Source organism: Homo sapiens, chromosome 6 (genome assembly GCF_000001405.40).
Source record: "Homo sapiens chromosome 6, GRCh38.p14 Primary Assembly".
Lineage (NCBI taxonomy): Eukaryota > Metazoa > Chordata > Mammalia > Primates > Hominidae > Homo > Homo sapiens.
The window spans coordinates 15,047,390-15,048,693 of record NC_000006.12 but is presented as its reverse complement, the minus strand read 5'-3'; the positions used below and the strand labels follow the sequence as shown (position 1 = coordinate 15,048,693).

Below are 1,304 nucleotides of genomic sequence, written 5' to 3'. Positions count from 1 at the left end.
TTCTACAAGCAATGGATGAGGTTTCAGCATCCCTTTCTCTCCAGACCCGTCCCCACTCTACTGCAGCTTCTTTACATCATGTTTTACACAATAATCCCTTGAGGGTTCAACACTGATTTTTTTTTTAAGCCTGAAGAAAAACACATTTTCTCTCCTCTTTCATTTTTAGTTATCAAAGCACTGAAGCATTTGATTCGAAAGCAAAACAAAAAGCAAACACATGAGGCCAAATTATGCCTTCCATGGACAGGAACTGTGCGTGTGGATTAAAGAACTGGGTTGGTTCCCAGGAAGAAAATGACATGGATTTCTAAGAACAGATAGAGGAGAAAAGTAGGTCCACTTTTCAACCTCTCAACCCTGTCATTGTCCTTTAAAACTCATTGTCAGTGTTTGGTGAAGTCTGTGCAAGGCCATGAATACTGAACTCATGCTCTGGGCAAAATAAGGAGCTTAGCATTTGAGAAAGTGTGGCTGAACTTTGTCTCCATAAAGACATTGTAAGAGAGTCAATTACTTTTATTTCTTATTTCAAATCAAGGCTAATGGATCACCAAGTAACGCTTTGCCATTTTGATGGGAGGAAAAATTCAAATTTGATCATAAGAAACTAAGGTTTAGAAAAGTATTTTTTGCTTTCTTTTTTTTGTTTGTTTGGTTTTTTTTGTGAGATGGAGTCTCGCTTAGTTGCCCAGGCTGGAGTGCAGTGGCGCCATCTCGGCTCACTGCAAGCTCCGCCTCCCGGGTTCATGCCATTCCCCTGCCTCAGCCTCCCAATTAGCTGGGATTACAGGCGCCCGCCACCACGCCCGGCTAATTTTTTGTAGTTTTAGTAGAGATGGGGTTTCACTGTGTTAGCCAGGATGGTCTTGATCTCCTGACCTCGTGATCCGCCTGCCTCAGCCTCCGAAAGTGCTGGGATTACAGGCATGCGCCACCATGCCTGGCTTTTGCTTTCTTAAAAAAAAATTTTTTTTGTAAAGACAGGGTCTTGTTCTGTTGCCTAGGCTAGAGTGCAATGGTGTGATCACAGTTCACGGCATCCTCCAGGCTCAAGTGATCCTCCTGCCTCAGCCTCCCAAGTAGCTGGGACCACAGGCACACACCACCACACCACCTAATCAAAAAATATTTTAATGAGATATTCTTTCTTTCCGAATCAAAACTAGTAGAACTAAGGACACAGTCATTAAAGCAATTTTTTTCCTCCCACCAGTATTGACCAAGTGTCTACTATGTCTGTGTTCGTTTTCTGTATGTGCCCTAACAAATGACCACAAACTTGGTGGCTTAAAACAACAGAA

At 42.7% G+C, this 1,304-nt stretch overlaps 1 annotated feature.

Annotated features, from left to right (window-relative positions):
- Positions 212–261: an enhancer, noted in NCBI's record as "active region_24063". NCBI's record gives its function as "activates an Ori minimal core promoter by ATAC-STARR-seq in GM12878 lymphoblastoid cells {active_cell/tissue: GM12878}" and the evidence as "EXISTENCE:reporter gene assay evidence [ECO:0000049][PMID:35858748]".